The 15,144-nt window shown below is 36.3% G+C and overlaps 3 annotated features.

Moving 5' to 3' along the window:
- Positions 529–1,728: an enhancer, noted in NCBI's record as "P300/CBP strongly-dependent group 1 enhancer chr4:131553588-131554787 (GRCh37/hg19 assembly coordinates)". NCBI's record gives its function as "activates an origin of replication core promoter dependent on BRD2, BRD4, P300/CBP, MED14 and CDK7 cofactors, with strong dependence on P300/CBP, by STARR-seq in HCT116 cells {active_cell/tissue: HCT116}" and the evidence as "EXISTENCE:reporter gene assay evidence [ECO:0000049][PMID:35650434]".
- Positions 833–1,002: an enhancer, noted in NCBI's record as "experimental_74598 CRE fragment used in MPRA reporter constructs". NCBI's record gives its function as "activates a minimal promoter by MPRAs in K562 erythroleukemia cells, with activity observed for both the introgressed and non-introgressed 4:131553977 variant alleles {active_cell/tissue: K562}" and the evidence as "EXISTENCE:reporter gene assay evidence [ECO:0000049][PMID:34662402]".
- Positions 14,429–14,929: an enhancer, noted in NCBI's record as "H3K27ac hESC enhancer chr4:131567488-131567988 (GRCh37/hg19 assembly coordinates)". NCBI's record gives its function as "activates a minimal SCP1, AML or CMV promoter by ChIP-STARR-seq in naive H9 embryonic stem cells {active_cell/tissue: H9 hESC(naive)}" and the evidence as "EXISTENCE:reporter gene assay evidence [ECO:0000049][PMID:30033119]".

Here is a 15,144-nt window from a genome sequence, read left to right on the forward strand (position 1 = left end):
AAAAGTAATGAATGTCTGAGAAATTGTCATAGCGTAGAGAAACTTAACCACATATGATGACTAAATGTCACACAGTAACCTAGTTGAGATCCAGGAATAGGTAAAATGAATTACATGAAAACTAAGTCAATCTCAAAGTGTAGATTTAAGTTAATGATACTGGTGTATCAATAATGACTGATTTGTTCTGATAAATGTATCACACTCTGGTAAGCTGTTAAGCATAAGGGAAACTGGGTATGGAGTATATGTCAACTCATATTATCTGTGCATTATTTCCATTAATCTTAAATATGCTCTATTCCCATAAATCTAGTCTTAGATGTATATATACACACACATATACACCTATGTGTTTATATATAAATCTAAAACACATATGTGTGTGAATATATATATATGTGTTCATGTATATGTGTCTGTGTGTGTATATATACATATATAAAAGCATTAAATAGATTGACTAAATGACCTTCCCTAAATAGGTTGTATAATCATCACTTCTGTTAATTGTAGTTATGCAGTATGAATAAGTCTAGGTATGTATTGTACAGCATAAGTATAGTTAATATGTACTGTATACTGAAAATTTGCGAAGATAATAGATTTCAGGTGCTCTTACCACCAAAAAAGAGAGAAAATCTAGACAATTTTCTTAATCCATTAATTAAGAAATACATTTAATCTTATATTAATCTCATTATAGAAGCATGAATTTAATTCCAATGTAGTTTATTTAAGAGAAATATACTTAGTTATGCATAATAGTAAATTATAAGAAAACAATTTTCTTTCAGATAGATAACAACTGTGTTTTACCTGAATTGGCTAAAAAGGACTATAGGAAGACTGCTTCCATAAAAGTTAATATGGGACAGTGCAGGAAAATGGCGGACAGGAGGCAGGACTAACTTTCAGCTCTGACTCAGACGACAGTGTGTAGGCACCCACATCGTGAACTTTTGCACCAACAACCACAGGAACATACCAGAAAGCTGTGACCACACAAACCCTTTGAAGGTGGTGGATTGCCACTGCAGGCTCTGTGGGACAACAGAGGAACGGTGAGTCGGCTTGTTTTCTCAGCTGGGAGGCATGTAGCTGGGAACAATTTTTCAGCGCTGCTCAACGGCTGCCTGGAAGTGAACTTGCTGCTGTTGAGGGGGGCACAGTGGGAGTGAGACCAATCTTTTGGGCTATGGGCTGCATGGGAGCTGGATAAGGCCTACGGCTGCCAGCTTTATCTCCCTTCCCTGGTTACCCGTGTGACACAGCAGAGGCAGCCCTAATACCCCTGGGGACATAGCTCCACTGGCCTGGGAACTACACCCTTTTCTCCCACAGCAGCCTCAACAAGCCCTCCTCAAGGAGAGTCTGAGCTCAGATAAGCCTAACCCCGCCCCCACCTGATGGTTTTCTCTACCTGCCCTGGTAGCTGAAGATAAACAACATAATCTCTTGGGAGCTCTATGGCCTTGCCCACTGCCTGACCCTCCCTATACTACTGCAACTGATGTGCTCTTGAAATCGCCACCTCCTGGCTGGAGGTCAACCAACACAAAACCAGCGCAGTTAACAAAAATACATCCAAGAACCTTCGCAGAGTCCACTTCACTCCCCTGCTGTCTCCACCAGAGCAGGTGCTGGTATCCATGGCTCAGAAGAGACCTGAAGACAAATCACATCACAGGACTCTTAGAAGACACTCCCCAATACCAGCCAGGAGTCCAGTAGCTCTGCAGGGTGTCTAGATTCAGAAGAGAAACAGCAGCCACTGTAGTTCACCCCTCAGGAAGCTCCATTTGCTAGGGGAAAGAGGAGAGCGTTACATCAAGGGAGCACCCTGTGGGACAAAACAATCTAAACTGCAGCCTTTGAGTCCCGGATCTTCCCTAACATAGTCTATCCAAATGAGAAGGAACTAGAAAATCAATTCTGCTAATATGACAAAACAAGGGTCCTTATCACCCCTAAAAGATCACACTAACTCACCAGCAGTGGATTAAAACCAAGACAGAATCCCTGAATTGCCAGAAAAAGAATTCAGAAGGTCAACTATTAAGCCAATCAAGGAGGCACCAGAGAAAGATGAAGTCCAACTTAAATAAATTTAAAAAAAAAGAAACATGATATGAATGAAAAAATCCCCAGTGAAATGTATAGCATAAATAAAAAACAATCACAACTTATGGAAATGAAAGACACACTTAGAGAATTGCAAAATGCACTGGAAAGTCTCAGCAATAGAATCAAACAAGTAGAAGAAAGAAATTCAGAGCTCGAAGACAAGGCTTTCAAATAAACCCAATCCAACAAAGACAAAGAAAAAAGAACTAAAAAAATAAAGCCTCCAAAAAGTTTGGGATTATGTTAAGCAACCAGATCTAAGAATAATTGGTGTTCCTAAGGAAAAAGAGAAATCTAAAAGCGTGGAAAGTGTATTTGAGGGAATAATCCAGGAAAATTTCCCTGGCCTTGCTATAGATCTAGACATCCAAACACAAAAAGCTCAAAGAACACCTGGGAAATTCATCACAAAAAGATGATCACCTAGGCACATAGTCATCACGTTACCTAAAGTCAAGATGAAGGAAACAAGAGCTGTGAGGCAAAAGTGTCAGGTAACCTATAAAGAAAAACCCATCAGATTAATAGCAGATTTCTTAGCAGAAACCCTGCAAGCTAAAAGGGATCGGGGTCCTGTCTTTAGTAAACAGTGTGACCATTGACCAAATTGGAGCATAAAATTATTTATGTTCTAATAGTTACTATAAATATCCTGTGCCTCAGTTTCCAAAAATTAAAACACTGAGAAAAAATGTCATTTATTTTTATTTCTGAAAAATTGTCTTAGCTAATACATATAAAATCCTTGCAGTTAACAATCTACATCACTTTCCCATTAATGACCAATTGATAAGAGGATATTGATACCATATGAACTTGGGTATGCACACATACGCATACACATCCTATATTGTTAGTCTGAATTCTGTTCTCACAAAATATAACATTAAAAATGACTCAGTACCAAATAACTCTTAGACCTCAAAAGGTCCTCCCAAGCAGAACCCAAGGTGTGATGATAATTAGAGGCCCTTGGTGAGGAGGAAAAAAGTAGATCCTTAGTAAAGAGACTGGAACAGTGAAGGAAAGACAGACTACTCTTGAATCAGTGCCCTGTTTCAAAAGTACATCACTGATTGGATGAACAGAGAGAGATCATGCTCACAGAATTTGTGGATAACTAAGACTCAGAAAACTGGGTAACACTAATAATAAATGAGGTTACTGAGGTTCAATGAGATTAACAGTTTTGCCCAAATTCTTACTTTTAATCTGTTGTAGAGAAGAAATTAAAATTCAGGTTACTGGATTTCTAGTTCATTATCTATTCCATCACATCATACTCTGGGTGTTCATTATTGTACATGGGATAAAATATTTCAATAAATGACATTTAAAGTCCATTCCAACTTTAAGACTTTTATAATAGTATTTGACTTAATTGTGTTTTAATCCTGTCATTATCAAAAGATTGATTGCATGTGGTATAAAATATAGTATAAAACTAAATAAGTTTTTTTATAATTCCATAGTTTATATATATGATTAGTATATTAATAAAATATCTGGTAAAATTACATATGCTTCTTTTGTATTGCCATAAGAAAAGTCTAGCCAGAAAAAAAAAAAAAAAAACGGTACACAAGTCAGGCCCAGCTGCCAGAAAGCATAATATATTGACTTAAATGATAAACATCATAATATCAATAAGAGAGTTATAAGAGATAGGCATTGTGACATCCTGTGACATCTGGTAAACAACCATAGTCACATAGCTCTGTTTGAAATTTGAAGCAACTTTAACTGATAATATTTATTTGCAATGGTAGAAAATTATCAGAATGCAATCTGGCACAATTACTGGCAGGAGATAATCTAAGAATCGAAACTTTAGCATTTCATTTAATGTGAAAATACAGTGTTAGAAGTTGTATTGATATTTTAATCTTGTGTCATACTAGAAATATTGCTAAATCTCTGTGATTCCTCTTTGCCATTTGCCTCACAGCAGAGGAAAAATTGCAGTTGATCTATTAATAACTGAATAGACTTAGAAATACATTGTACTATCCCATTTAATGAGAAATGCTGAAATGACTTTAAAAGTGCTGTTGATTATATTTTCTGATATATTACCATAGCAATGGCTTAGTTAAATGAAAAGTTAGATTGTGTTCATATTTTCACATTGAAAAGTTATTAGTCATGAAATCAGCAAAAAACCGTTTAAACTATATTTTGATATTTAGAAAAAAATATACAAACTAGTTAAAGTTATGTAAGCTTGTTGTCTACTATGAAAAACATTTTGTACATACTTTTTATAGGTCAATGGCTATACCTAGGTGGCTGTAGCTTACACACTCAAACAGCCACAAAAACCTAACCTAAACAGCAGTAAGAAAACAAAAGAAAAAAAAAACATTTCAAATCTTTACAAACAACTGATAGGGGGATAAAAGGGAATGCATATTGTTATGAACTGAATTGTTTCTCCCTCCAATTTCATAGCTTGAAGCCTTATCCTCCAACATGACTATATTTGTAGATAGAGCCATTAAGGAGGTAATTAGGTTAAATGAGGTCCTGAGATTGAAGCCCTAATCCAATAATACCAAAGTCTTTATAAGAGAGGAAGAGGAACCAGAGCTTGCTCTTTCTCTTTGTCTCTCTCTAGCTCGCTCTTTCTCTCTCTCTCTCTCTCTCTCTCTCTCCCTCCCTTCACGTGTGTGCCAAAGGAAAGGCCACGTGAGAACACAACGAGAAGGGGTCATCAGCAAGCCAGAAAGGGAAGTTTCACCAGAAACTACATTTTCCAGCGGCTTGGTATTGGACTTCTAACCCCCAGAACTTAGAACAAATGAGTTTCTGCTGTTTAAGTCACCCAGTCTATGATATTCAGTTATGGTGGTCCAAAAAGATTAATACATATACTTACGAGAAGAAATCTCTTCTAAGTGCTAATATTACTTATGCAACAAATAAAAATAATCTATAAAAATGCATGATAATCAAACAAAAATTTGATATACATCCATAACATCATGATGTACAACTTGATTACATTATGCAGATATGCTATAATCTCAGATAAATGTATTAGAAAACACTGTAAAAATTAATGAAGAAAGTAGTATATGTTCAGGGAAAAAAAGTAGAAAATTTGTATCTATTGATCTCTACAATTTAGCTTAATGAATTCATAAGTCATGTAGTAATGTAAATTATATCTATATATGTTTTCAAAAATATCAGTTGTAAACTATATCATTATATAAAATGTTGGTTCTTATGGGAATGTAATATAACTTTTTAATGACTGAAAAACAGTTACATTTCAGAGGTCATCTGGGACAATTATGTTTATATAACAATTTTATAATTTTTTTAGTTTTAATAGCTTCAAACTTTGCCCCAATTGCATGTTTTAAGCCTTATCAAATATGTGGGGGAAAAAAAGATTTGCCACAGCCTCACTATTTTCTAGCTATGTATTATCAAATACATTTTGAAATCTTACAAAAAATGATTATGTTTATAAAGCAAAATCTAATTGAGACAATACAAATTTCTGTTATAAATTGCTAGTAATTATTATAGAAAGATTAGAAAGCCAGATAATTCTGATTTCAAATTTACCTCTAAAATTAGAAAAGTTAAATCCAGAAATGTCAACATATCAATATTTGTATATCCATCTGTCTATCTATCCATCATATTTGAAATTGTCTAGTGTCAGAATATCCTAAAGCATAAGGTTGCACATAAAATTGTGCATCATATTGTCATTAAACTCATATGGTCATTTGTTATGTTTTGTATTTGTTTCTATTGGTCCAGTTCCTGGTCATATAAAAAAAAATTTCATGACAGTCAGTTTTTCAGATTCTGTTATTAATTTATTTTAATTTATTTAATAAATAAATTAATTCCATGTGCCAGGAAGAGAAATTTGGAGGACAAATAGAGAACAATATGGATAGGCTCTTATATCTCATGAAGTTTTCTCCTTAATGAGACAGATTATTTCTGTCAGAAATAATCTCCTTAATGAGACAGATTAATGCCACTAATCAAATAATCACATTAATCAAATAATTACACAGATAAATGTATAATTTAAAATTGAAATAAGTGTTATGAAGAAAAACTACAGCTACTAAAGCCTAGCTTTATGAAGTAAAAATGTGTAGCCAATTTACTTTCCTGAAAAATTATAACTTGTTACATTTTTATTCATTTTAAATGCAATTTGTTTTAATGATATATATAGTTTTACTCTTCACTAACTTTACTGTTTAAAACAATACTTAGGGACAATTTTTATTTTGGAAATTACTCCTTAATGATATTATCAGCCGGAAAGTGTTAATGTAATTTCCAGTTGTGCCCAAGTTACCATGGAAGGGGATAGTTACAGATAATCTCTAGTAAATATCTTTTCCTTTTCCTTTTTTTTTTTTTTTTTTTTGAGGTAGAGTCTTGCTCTGTTGCCTAGGCTGGAGTGCATTGCCGCGATCTCGGCTCCCTGAAACCTCCATCTCCTGAGTTCAAGGGATTCTTCTGCCTCAGCTTCCTGAGTAGCTGGGATTACAGGTGCCTACCATCACGCTAGGCTAATTTTCATATTCTTAGTAGAGATGGGGTTTCACCATGTTGGCCAGGCTGGTCTTGAACTCTTGACGTCAGGCGATCTGCCCACTTCAACTCCCAAAGAGCTGGGATTACAGGTGTAAGCCACCGCGCCCGGCCATAAATATCTTTAAATAAAAAAGTTACACACATGTGGCTTCATTTGCTTTTGTTAAAAGAATATTTAAATTCACCAAAAAATATGATCTGTAATTAATACCACGGCTAATGATAAACCAGTTACACACTAAGTAAAGTATAAATTGTACTAGATAATCATTTGTAAGCAGGAATCGAAGGTGATCTTTGTAATTTATTTTTAAAAACCCTATATATAAATTCAAAAATATAACTATCTTTTAGACAAATAAGTCTAAGTAATATTTTTTACTGAATAATCCATATAATTTAAATAAAAGTAAATGTGTTATTATACCCAGTTTTAATATTAAGAATAGTCTACAGATCTAGTTAAAATAAAACAATAATAGTCCTTGAAATCTTAATGAAAATTTAATTTTTTTTAAAGATTTGATAAATATACTCACTATTAGGTAAGTTTTTCTCATTAATGGGAATCTGAGTTAACTACATCTGCTCTTTTTAAACCAGTTTTCAGACTAGAAATAAAAAAAGACATTTGCCTCCTAGGTACTTACCAATTTCATTAGAAATGATGGATTTTTTTGTGGTATAGAGATTCTTAGGTGATAAAAATACTGATTGCTTCTCCTTTCTAATATAGCAATAGTTCATGTCTTGGAACTACTTCTATTGTCAAAGTGAATAATATTTTAATATGTTTAGGTATGGCTTTATTCTTCCTTATAGAAAAATTGAATGACTTTTGACATTAAGAGAGTTTGCTATCAGTCACTGGAGTATTATTGTTGCCAAATCTATTTGATAATGTATTTGAGCTTCAGGTGAGATTCTGGAAAAAGAAAACCAGAGGCTAAAATGTGCCCATTATAGCTCTCTCTCTCTCTTTGGGTGTTTGTGTAAGCCAAGAATCATACATTTTAGCAAAGCAGGAGAGCTTCTCGGAAAATGGGTCTTATCAGAAACTAGATTCGAAATTAGATTGTTTTTGCAGAGCTGTTTCTTAAGCATTTATGTTTGAGCTCTAGAAAGTATTTCAATGTAATATTCAAGCTTTTGATTTCTAAGCCTTGATGAACGCTAAGTAGCATCAGAATTGTCAGATAAATTTTTACCAAACCACAAATACAGTTCTAAGTATAATTGTGTGCGTTAAGAGATTAAAATATATTGTAGTGCTGTGCCAATATTTATAGAGTTCATTTCTGTCCAAGCAAGCATTTGTTAATGATCTGGAGTACTTACTGTGTACTGTGTCCTGCATGTTGATAGATTTATTACAGACAATTTAAATAGGAGAAATGCCCTCCTGCCTCCCCCCCACAACCTGCCTGGCCATCCCTGTCTCAGGGAGCAGGTCACAGGTCACCACGGGTAATTCTAGCCTCCACTGGGGAAATGTTCCAACACCATGCTGGTTATTTTGGTAGCTGTAGTTGTAGGGTGTGTGTGTGCATGTGTGTGTGTGTGTGTGTAAGAGTGTGTGTGTGCGTGTGTGTGTGCTGTGACCACCCAGTCTTCATGGTATGTCCCACCCTGTCCCCAGATCTCCTATTACCTCCACAATAACAGAAACACTCCCAGGGATTCTGGGCAGAGGGTGAGAACAAATAACTGCTGTCACCCCAGAGGACAATTTTTAGTAATAAAATTGAGTGTCAAGTATTTTTTAAAAATTATAATAAATTTAATATAGAAAATTTTAATATTTATAGAGCTCATGTCTGTCCAAGAATGCATTTGTTAAAGATCTGGAGTATTTGCTATGAACAATGTCCTGAACATTGATAGATTTATTATAGAAAATTTTTGAAACACAGGGTCCTTTGGATCATTGGTTATATTATAACAGGCAACATGAAAATAAACACATAGGTAAATATTTACGATACTCCTAAACTCTAAATGATTCCATCAAATTTCCTGTTCTAGGAAAAATAATCACCAAGACAAAAACAATGAAGAGACAAAGACTACTAATTTTCATGCATAATCTGATGTTAGACAGAAAAGAAAAGCTATGAGACTAGGCAATTTCAGAGCACCAAGACAGCTTGTCAGCTGCTTTTATAGTAGAGCACCTCATACAAAATCAACCCAGTGAGAAGAAAATTGGCATTGCTGCCAAGCAAGCATAAGTAAATAAACACTCTCAAACAGTTACATGATAACAAATAAGATGTCTGAGTGTATAAAAAATTAAAACAATTTGAATAAAAATGTACAAAACATGAGAATTAGTAAAATCAGTAGTTTGAAAATATGCAGTGGAAAACGACCTTTCCTAGAATATTAATAAAGACTGTATAACTTATTATTACATTTTATAGTTTTCAAAAATGTTAAAAACATATACATGGCAGATAACAAAACTGGGAAAGACCTAAATAAATATTAAGTGTAACAGTGCTTTTATAAAAATATTCTATCACTAACAAAACTATTGGTCAAATCTGTTGTCAATGTAAAATTAAGAAGACAAATATAACCCAGTAAATAAAACTTCTATTTGAGTAGTTATGTTGGCATTTTTAATATGAAACACTGTTTCCTCCATAAAGAAAATAAGTTACGTAATCCAGGTTCACAGCTGGGGTGAAGTTTAACATTGTAAAAATAGTAAAAATAGACATCTTTAAAGAATGCCTGCATATGAAGAATTTCTTAAATTGTGATCTCTGTTAACAAACTCTGAGACAGAAATTTGCATATTAGAGTTTTGCTGGGAAGTGCCCTTAGGAGTAATACCTGTAAGAGAGTGGAAAAAAAAGAAGTATATACCCAGAGAGAGACGTTTAAACATAATACAATTGCAATAAAGGAGCTCCGGATTTAGAGTGGCCCTTCAGACTTGTCCCAAATTACAACAAAGAAGCTGGGATATGTAACTTCTCATTGGTCAGTTATTAGACACAGGAGGCAGCTACATTCGGATGAAGGTGTGTCTCAGAGACAGGTGCCTCTATGAGCAATCAGCAGTCAACACCAGGAAGTGCCTATTGAAAAGGCAGATATACATGCTGCCCTACAATATCCATTACTGTCAACCACTTGTGCCACTCACATTCACTTGCTTTTTAGTATAAGTTCAACCCATGTAGAATATGCTTCTCCAGGACTTGTCCAAGAAAAATTGCACCAAACACTTTTTAAAAATGGCAAGGAAGACTACCCAAAACGATTGCAAGGGGAGTTAAGGCTATTGCCACAGGGGAGAGAAATTCAACTCAACTGAAAGAAAAGAAAAGATTTTCAAATGCTGGTGTGAGCTAGTGCAAAAATATTAGAGGATCTAAGGGGGAAGACTAGTCAATGTGATTAGGCTATCTGTATATATTAATTGTCTTTTATCAAAGTTAGGCTCCTACCTACTCATAGAAACTGAGAGACAGAGGTCTTATCTTTCTTGATGATTACATTTCAAAGAGATGGATCCCAGATTTTTGAGAAAGAACTTCCTGGGTGGTAAAAATGGCAAGAAGCTGAGAAAATATTTACACTCACAGGGGCAGAGAAATAATTTGCAATTTTAAGTTTTTTAAAGTAAATACTGTAAAAAAGGAGGCCAGGGGCCTGTAGTCAAGAAGAAGCCTGTCTAAATTTCAGTCAAGCTGAAGGGAAGATTCAGGCCATACTGGTCAGACTGTAGTTAGCAGATTGGTTTAGAAAAAAACTCCAAGTATAAGGTTAGTGTCCCAAAACATCAATCCTGTACACAATGCACATACTGGCCACTTTTTATCAAGATTAGGTAGGGAGTAATAAAAGATATCCCCAAGTAGACTACCTGAGGCCAAACATTTTATTTCCTGCATTCTTTGCAAAAACCCAGCATTGTCTCCTCGTGATCATGAGTGCCAATTAGCTCTGTCGGGATGGTGAGTCTTTTTTTTTTTTTGCCTAGTGTTCTCTTGATATGAGGAACTCAAAGTAATTTGGTGGCAGGTAGAGCTTAAAGTTGAGATTTTTATCCCATGTTGGAAGAGCTTCTCCCAGAAGAACCTGGATCTATCCACACAGAGTCTAAATTTCTCTTATTTTTTTATTATTATACTTTAAGTTTTAGGGTACATGTGCACAACGTGCAGGTTAGTTACATATGTATACATGTGCCATGTTGGTGTGCTGCACCCAGTAACTCGTCATTTAACATTAAGTATATCTCCAAATGCTATCCTTCCCCCTCCTCCCACCCAACAACAGGTCCCAGTGTGTGATGTTCCCCTTCCTGTGTCCATGTGTTCTCATAGTTTAATTCCCACCTATGAGTGAGAACATGCAGTGTTTGGTTTTTTTGTCCTTGCGATAGTTTCCTGAGAATGATGGTTTCCAGCTTCATCCATGTCCCTAAAAAGGACATGAACGCATCATTATTTATGGCTGCATAGTTTTCCATGGTGTATATGTGCCACATTTTCTTAATCCAGTCTATCATTGTTGGACATTTGGCTTGGTTCCAAGTCTTTGCTATTGTGAATAGTGCCACAATAAACATACGTGTGCATGTGTCTTTATAGCAGCATGATTTATCATCCTTTGGGTATATACCCAGTAATGGGATGGCTGGGTCAAATGGTATTCCTATCCCTGAGGAATTGCCACACTGACTTCCACAATGGTTGAACTAGTTTACAGTCCCACCAACAGTGTAGAAGTGTTCCTATTTCTCCACATCCTCTCCAGCACCTGTTGTTTCCTGACTTTTTAATGATTGCCATTCTAACTGGTGTGAGATGGTATCTCATTGTGGTTTTGATTTGCATTTCTCTGATAGCCAGTGATGATGAGCATTTTTTCATGTGTCTTTTGGCTGCATAAATATCTTCTTTTGAGAAGTGTCCGTTCATATCCTTCGCCCACTTTTTGATGGGGTTGTTTTATTCTTGTAAATTTGTTGGAGTTCATTGTAGATTCTGGATATTAGCCCTTTGTCAGATGAGTAGATTGCAAAAATTTTCTCTCATTCTGTAGGTTGCCTGTTCACTCTGATGGTAGTTTCTTTTGCTGTGCAGAAGCTCTTTAGTTTAATTAGATCCCATTTGTCAATTTTGGCTTTTGTTGCCATTGCTTTTGGTGTGTTAGACATGAAGTCCTTGCCCATGCCTATGTCCTGAATGGTATTGCCTAGGTTTTCTTCTAGGGTTTTTATGGTTTTAGGTCTAATGTTTAAGTCTTTAATCCATCTTGAATTAATTTTTGTATTAAATGTAAGGAAGGGATGCAGTTTCAGCTTTCTCCATATGGCTAGCCAGTTTTCCCAGCACCATTTATTAAATAGGGAATCCTTTCCCCATTTCTTGTTTTTGTCAGGTTTGTCAAAGATCAGATGGTTGTAGATATGAGGCATTATTTCTGAGGGCTCTGTTCTGTTCCATTGGTCTATATCTCTGTTTTGGTACCAGTACCATGCTGTTTTGTTTACTGCAGCCTTGTAGTATAGTTTGAAGTCAGGTAGTGTGATGCCTCTAGCTTTGTTCTTTTGGCTTAAGATTGACTTGGCAATGTGGGCTCTTTTTTGGTTCCATATGAACTTTAAAGTAGTTTTTTCCAATTCTGTGAAGAAAGTCATTGGTAGCTTGATGGGGATGGCATTGAATCTATAAATTACCTTGGGCAGTATGGCCATTTTCACGATATTGATTCTTCCTACCCATGAGCATGGAATGTTCTTCCATTTGTTTGTATCCTCTTTTATTTCATTGAGCAGTGATCTGTAGTTCTCCTTGAAGAGGTCCTTCACGTCCTTTGTAAGTTGGATTCCCAGGTATTTTATTCTCTTTGAAGCAATTGTGAATGGGAGTTCACTCATGATTTGGCTCTCTGTTTGTCTGTTCTTGGTGTATAAGAGTCTAAATTTCTTAAGAAATAAAGCATAAATGTATTATGCTTATTATAGGAAGGTGGGAAAGATTGATAAGAAGAGCCATTCCTATGATATGCTTGGTTTCTGAACCAATGTATTCTTTTTTTTTTTTTTTTCCTTAAGACAGAGTCTCACTCTGTCACCCAGGCTAGAGTGCAGTGGCACAATCTCTGCTGACAGCAACCTCTGGCCTCCCATACTTAACCAATGTATTTTGTATATTGGGTACATAGTACCACATAATGATTATTAATTTAAAGTATATATGCATCTTGTGAACTTATACAACATTCTTGCAGACTAGAATTCAGGAAGATACAACATTGTTAAGTATTCAAAAAGTGATTTGCGGCTATGTGCAGTGACTCATGCCTGTAACCCCAGCACTTGGGGAAGCTAAGGTGGGAGGATCACTTGAGCCCAGGAGTTCTAGTCTAGCCTGGACAACATAGTGAGACTTCATCTCTACAAAAAATTAGTCAGGCATGGTAGTACATGACTGTGGTTCTAGCTACTTGGAAGGCTGAGGTGGGAGGACTGCTTGAGCTTGGGAGGTTGAGGCTGCAGTGAACTGTGATTGTGCCACTGCATTTCAGCCTAGGTGACAGAGTGAAACCGTGACTCAAAAAATTTTAAAAAAGCTTTTTTATAACTTTATTAGGCTGGTAATACATTGTACTCTAAATGATAGGTTTGGTAGATCCTACAGCCATGTTTTCACTGCTATAGCTCCTTCTGTGTAGAGTGAGTATCTTGTTCCAAGATAATTTTATGTGTGATTCTACATTGGTGGATCATGCCTCTGTAAGTATTCAGATAGATGTTCTGATCAAGACTCTAAGGACAGGAAATGAAAACCTATATATGGAACATGTGCAGATATTAAACAACATTAATCTTTATCCCTTTCAGAATAAGAAGTCATTCATGTATTTAAATTGTCAATTAGTTAATAGTTTGTCTCTTTGAGGAATAAATGTGTATTGGAGTCAACACTGATCTCTTTTTCTGAAAATGTGGAAATTCAGCAATAGCAGAAAGCTAGGTTAGCCTTTGTGACTGAGACCATGTCATTGTACCCATCTCTTGCTTCTATCCCTGCCATTATTGCTACTCTGTTCTTGTAACCGCTGTGCAAATAATAGAGTGACCAATAACAATTGTGGATGGAATCACCTGGCCACATATTTCTGTCTACATGGTTATTTTGGGGGTTACCCATAATAGATGTTCACCTATGGGCATTAAAGTGCAATACAAAGTTCATCACATTTACATCTCCTCCTGTAAACACATCCTCCTGAGATATCAGTATCTCAGAACTGAATCTTTTAATCACTTTTGTATTTTTTATTTCAGGCTCCAGACCAAACAGCCAAATCATTTTTCTACTGCATATATAAGCCTGTGTATATATTTCTCGGTAGATTAGAGGCTTTATTACTGCATCTCATCCACTTGGAAAGAGAAAAATAGAGTGTAGCAATTGATAATGTGAACTTTCATCCAAGAGGGAACCTCGGAGTTCAATATAAAAGTGAAAGAAACTTCAGATGTTTGAAAAATAAGGTGGGCAGCATCCAGTGTGGCAGGTTCAGTGGAAAACTTGGAGTTTAAGAGGAAAAGAGTGTGTCTGCATGATACATATTTGCACAGGGAACCAGACAATCCAGGCCATGGTGGAAAACCTTGACTGTACCAAGCCCTGGCTCTGACTTGGAGAACACTTGGAAGACTGTGAAAACGAATGGCAGCAGGAAGTGGTTGGTGCACACTCCCAGACCCCAGCACCAATAAAAACCCCTTCCTTATCCTAACTCACAGTGAGGCACAGGGTAACCTGCCAGCCAGCATAGGAGACAGTCACTGGTTTAGAGAGTCATGAGATTAGGATTTGTGATATAGTCTCAAGTAGGCAAGAAGCTCCCACAGCCAAACTGAGAGGCAAGTATGACATGGAGGCCAGTCATGGGCATCAGAGTTGGATGCAACCCCCTGCCTTTTCAGGACTAAATCAGGAGGGATTTGGCACTAAAGCCATGGTTCCAACACAGCAGCAAATTTTATAGCCTGGAGTGGTGTAGTAGTTTGAAGACAAACTGTTTGTGACCAGCTGGCTGTCCCAATTTTCTGCCACAGAAGAGAGCACTGGTGGATCAAGTGCATGAGAGTAATACAGGTCCCACTATGACCTGCTAGGCTGTGGAGTGCATGTTTCCCCTCTTTCTCTGTGCTATCTCTTTGGCACAGCAATGGTTGCTTTACTCGTCCATGGAGCATTGCTCCATGGGTCTGAGAACTGCCTTCTAGCTCCTATCAATGCTGGCACTTGCACCTGACACTGGGGGCTCAAGTACAGGCTTGTCCATTCTAGCTCTGCCTGGCTTTGCTCCCTCTCCTACCCTGGAGGCAGAACACAAGACTGGGACCACAGAGAGTTTCAATGCCAAGCCTGTCACCTGGAACACCCAAGTACTTCT

The sequence above is a fragment of the Homo sapiens genome, chromosome 4, assembly GCF_000001405.40.
Source record: "Homo sapiens chromosome 4, GRCh38.p14 Primary Assembly".
Taxonomy (NCBI): Eukaryota; Metazoa; Chordata; class Mammalia; order Primates; family Hominidae; genus Homo; species Homo sapiens.